The sequence below is a fragment of the Homo sapiens genome, chromosome 2 (assembly GCF_000001405.40).
Source record: "Homo sapiens chromosome 2, GRCh38.p14 Primary Assembly".
In the NCBI taxonomy this organism is placed as follows: domain Eukaryota; kingdom Metazoa; phylum Chordata; class Mammalia; order Primates; family Hominidae; genus Homo; species Homo sapiens.
In genome coordinates, this window is record NC_000002.12 from 149,326,665 (window position 1) to 149,331,220 (window position 4,556).

Here is a 4,556-nt window from a genome sequence, read left to right on the forward strand (position 1 = left end):
ACTATTGTCTCCCTGTCTATTCTTGTCTTTTCATTCTCGTAACCGTGTTGTTTGCAGAGAAAATGTTTTAACTTTTAGAAAGCCCAATTGATTTACTTTTTGTTATGTATTGTGCTTTTTGGCTTTGCATTTTCAACCTTCAATTTTTATATATTAAAAGTAAAATTTCTAAAAAAAGATTTCCTCCTAGCAATAGCAGATTATCTACATGTATGTAAATAATAATTACCTATATCTCCTAAATGTGAAATTAAATAAGACATTAGACAATTTGTGCAGAAAAAACAAATTAAAGTTAAGAAAGATGAGACAAGGATCTAATAATTTTTAAAACACGGAACTAATGTCTTTTCGATTTTGGATAATAGTTGCATGTAGACACATGAAATAAAATGCCTCATGGGGTTTCAAATACCCATTCATTTATTTACCCATTCATTTTAGAATATTTACTGAGCACCCACTATAAACCAGGCACTGTGTTCTACGTGGGGGCATATGGATTCATATGATGGGACAAAGAACTTGCAATAAATAGATCAATGGATAACACAATGTGGTAAGAACTGTGATTGACATATATTCAAAATGAACCAGGTTTCTTTTTTTTACATGTGGTAGTGTCATCATGCCTATCTCAGTATGAAATTGTTCATGTGACTATTTGATCTAAAGTCTTTCTCTCCTACTCAGGTGATGGGTGCACTACAATCTGACTTCACCACTATACAATTCACCCATGCCAAAAACCACTCGTACTTCCAGAGCTATTGAAATAAAAATATACATTAATTTAAAAAATCAGAAAGGGCTGCTTTTAAAATAATCAATAAACAAGGCTGGGCATGGTGGCTCATGCCTGTAATCCTAGCACTTTGGGAGGCCAGGATGGGCAGATTACCTGAGGTCAGGAGTTCAAGACCAGCCTGGCCAAAATGGTGAAACCCCATCTCTACTAAAAATAAAAAAATTAGCTGGGCATCAACAACTCAGGAGGCTGAGACATGAGAATCACTGGAACCTGGAAGGCAGAGGTTGCAGTGAGCCAAGATTGTGCCACTGCACTCCAGCCTGGGTGACAGAGTGAGACTGTCTCAAAAACAAAAACATGAAACAATAACAACAAAAAATAATCAATAAACAGATCTGTAGTGAGAGCTGGGCAGGTTGGGAAGGTGCAGGGTGAGACCACCTATGGTAAATGTGAGCTGGCAGACTCAGCAGGGGTGAAACAGAGGATGGCACTCAGCCATGTTGGGCAGGGGTGAGAAGGAGAGGGCTTAAAATAAATAAATAAATAAAGTGCGTCTCTCTCTTCGTGCACTCCAGGAGTGTAAATACAATGTATGTTTTCTTCATCGCGTCACTTTGCTCCAGCCTGGGCAGCAGAGTGAGACTCCGTCAAAAAAAAAAAAAAAAAAAAAAAAAAAAGCTTGCTTCTGATGTACAGAAAGAAGGCGTTGCTTAATTCTGCCCCGGGCAGTTTCGAAGACTTGATTTTTAAAAAGGTGGTATTCGAAGTGAATCTTGAAGCAAAGATAGGAACTTGCTGTTGGGGCAGGAGAGAGTTGAGAAGGAAGAGAAGCACAGCATTCTAGCACTATGAAATCTTAGACATGGGTGTGTGAAGGTCCACGGACAGGCAGTTGTAGGTGGAGCAGAACCATCCTGCCTGCGGAACTGTGAGGACAGAAGATGAGACCAACGTGGAAAGCTGGGAACGGACTGGGAAGGAAACGCCTTGCCAACCAGGCTCCATTTGAACTTCCTCACAGTGGGGTTGGAACTGAAGAATTTTAAGCTTGAAAGTGACATGATTACATTAGTGATTCTGAAATAGAGAGGGCAGCGTGTGGTCGACTGGAGAGCAGAGCAGTGAAAGCCTGTTGCTGAAGCGCTGGTAAGGCATGATGAGGTCTGGCAGTGAAATAGAGATGCTGGGAGGGATGGATCTAGAAGTCATCCTAGGAGACAGAAACACAGGACTGGGCGATTGACAAGATGTGAAGGGAAAAGCAGAAGGAAGATTTAACATTTTCGCTCTTCTGATGCCTGAGGAGTGTTGTATGTTGGTAGTCAACATTTTAAAAAAATTTTTAAATTAATATTAATGTTCTTTAGAAAATACCGTAAAGTATAAAGAACAAGAAAACCATCCATTATCCCAACACGCAGAGATAACCACTGCAGACATTTCATATGCATATCTTTCCAGCCTTCTTTGAAAATATATTTCTGAAAAGAGATCCTAAGGGTTCCATCTCTACCAGGAACTCGGCTCTCATAAACTGCATTAATACGTTGAACTTCACTTTGAACCCAAATATGAATATTTTCACTAAACTATGCACCGATTTTTTTTAAATAAAGTGAATAAGTACATGGACCGGAACTGCCAACTGGAAACTAAATGAGTGTCAGCAGTGACACCCGGGACATGCCCTCATTAGTAGATGCTAACCCGCAGAGGTAACCTGCCTAGACACGGAGAGACATTTCCAAGTTCAGGTTGATTAATTCATATTCAATTCATTCACCCTGCTGAGCCCTGCAGGAAGACAGCGCGGCAGCGATCTCCACCTTGAGGGGGCGCTAATTATTTTTTGCCTACTTGAACCCTGAGCTTGGGCAAGCCTGTGCACATACACTAAGAGAAAAACTTTCTGAGGTCTAGCAGCTGTCGATCAAAAATAGGTTATCCTAGGCCCTTCCAAATAGAGGGACTGGGGAAGGAAGTTTAATTTAAAAAAGAGTAAGAATGTTTTTATGTTGGGATGGATAGATTATTGGGAAGGCAGGGTGATTCAGGAGAGGCCTGAAAAAATGCTCCAGGGGTAGAAAATCCAAGGAGAAGGTGGAGGGGTCTCAAAGATCGACAAATAGCCACATGGCGGGCCGCCCTTACGAAGGTAGCCTTGCAGGCCAAGTTCGGGGGGAGGTGGGGAGGCTGGTTCCGAGTTTCCGGGCATATCCGTGGAGTCCTTCCAGACCTTCCTGGGGACCTTCCCCGGTCACCCCGGCTCCCCGCCGGCCCCCCGCGCTGCTCAGGGGAGAGTAGGACTATGACCCACTTCCACTCTAAGGCTCTAGATCGAACCGTCCAGGGGGGTCAAACACGATTTACAACAAGGAAGAGAAAAACCAATACGTCCCAAGAGGGCTGCAGGGGCTTTAACTGGAGGAAGGGTTGGGCAGAGGGTGGCAGTATTATGCCCTGGACTTTTTTGCACCAAACCCATAACCGGATTCCCACTTCCTAAGACCTGCCTTCCTGGCTCTTCCCACCGCCTCCATGCTCCGCCCCGCAGCTTAGGTCTTTTACTGCAAACGTCAAGTGGTCTCCGCCTTCCCTGGGTTCGGAGCTTCACTTGCTCTTGAGCTCTGCGGTCCGGCGGATTTCGCGGGGCCCAGGGGATGGCGGGGAGTGAGATTTGGCCAGGGTCATTTCACACTGCCGGGCCTGCAGCCACGCACGCAGCTGCTGGCCCGGCTGAGGCTGGCGGCTAGGGAGAGGCGCCAGGGGGTCGCGCACAGGAAGGTATCGGTGCACCCTGAGCAAACACTGCTCGCTTCCAACGCTCACTGGGAACAGGCTTCCCGGGAAGGTCCCAAATCTCTCCAGTTCCGCTCACCCTGCGGGCGGGAGCGCGGCGCCCGGGTGCCCCACCTGCGCCGGGCGGTCGGCTCCCGCTGGCCGGAGTTTGCAGACTTGGCGCTCAGGCCGATTCTCCCGGAGTTGGGCCGCGCGCGCCGGGCCAATGAGCGCGCCCCGCGGAGGGCTCCGCTCCCCCCGCGCGCGCTGATTGGTCCCGCGGCCCTCGAGGCCGGGCCGGCCGCGGCTGCGGGCGGCGGCCAGTGCCCGGCGCGAGTGGGAGTGGCGCGCGCGCCCCTAGCCGCCCCCCGCCTCTCCCCGCTGCGCTCCCTCGCTCCTTCCCTGAGCTCCCGGGCTCCGGCAGCGGGCTGGCGGGGCGCCGCATTGCACACTCTGGGGGCGCCGCAGTGTTCGTGGGATGGGGCAGCGGGCTGCAGCTGGCGGCCGGAATCCGCGCGCAGCCCGGGTGAGTAGAGGCGGGCTTCCCGGGAGAGCACAAAAGAACAGGGGATTGGTGCCAGCGGCCCCGGCTTAGGCGGGGCCTGGCCAAGGCAGGGAGTGCGCTGAGTCCCTGGAACTACCCGATGCTAGGGCAGTCCCCTGGGGCCAGAGGAACTGGGGTCCCGGCCTCCGGCGTTTTGCCCCTAGTGGGCAGAGAGCCCCGCGAGTAGCCTGGACGGGTCCAGAGGGGCGTGTGTACTCGTGTGTGTTGGGCTGGCGCGTGGAGGGTGGGATGGAAAGGTCAGGAGCTGCCAAGTTCAAGGCTGGAGGAACCTTTCCCAGGAGTAATTCAGCATCTTCTCACGGCCCAACATGCGTCCACCAGGAACTCCAGCCGGAGGGAGTTCCTGGGCGGCGGACTGGCAGCACCCCACATGTTGCTGCGGGGCGGGGGGCAGTGGCGGTAGCCCGGCTGCGGCCACCCGGAGCCTCTAAGGGAGGTGCAGTGTGCTGGAGGTACCTC

At 50.5% G+C, this 4,556-nt stretch overlaps 1 protein-coding gene and 1 non-coding gene across 3 annotated transcripts in view, besides 1 other annotated feature; one reads left to right on the forward strand and one right to left on the reverse strand.

Moving 5' to 3' along the window:
* Window positions 1-3,320: 3,320 nt before the first annotated feature.
* The window catches only part of LYPD6 (LY6/PLAUR domain containing 6), a 156,394-nt gene continuing 155,158 nt past the window's right edge, over window positions 3,321-4,556 (forward strand). Inside the window, exon 1 of one of the 2 annotated variants that reach the window (NM_001195685.2) lies at window positions 3,321-3,538. The gene's annotated coding sequence lies outside the window, so the exon portion shown is untranslated. Of the gene's footprint in view, window positions 3,539-3,922; window positions 4,059-4,556 lie in introns of those variants that run through there. The other variant, NM_194317.5, reaches the window with a different exon arrangement.
* Window positions 3,540-4,009: a silencer, noted in NCBI's record as "silent region_12004". NCBI's record gives its function as "represses an Ori minimal core promoter by ATAC-STARR-seq in GM12878 lymphoblastoid cells {active_cell/tissue: GM12878}" and the evidence as "EXISTENCE:reporter gene assay evidence [ECO:0000049][PMID:35858748]".
* MIR9899 (microRNA 9899) lies at window positions 3,614-3,709 on the reverse strand. Its single transcript, NR_162091.1, has one exon. It is a non-coding gene; the product is annotated as a microRNA 9899 (primary transcript).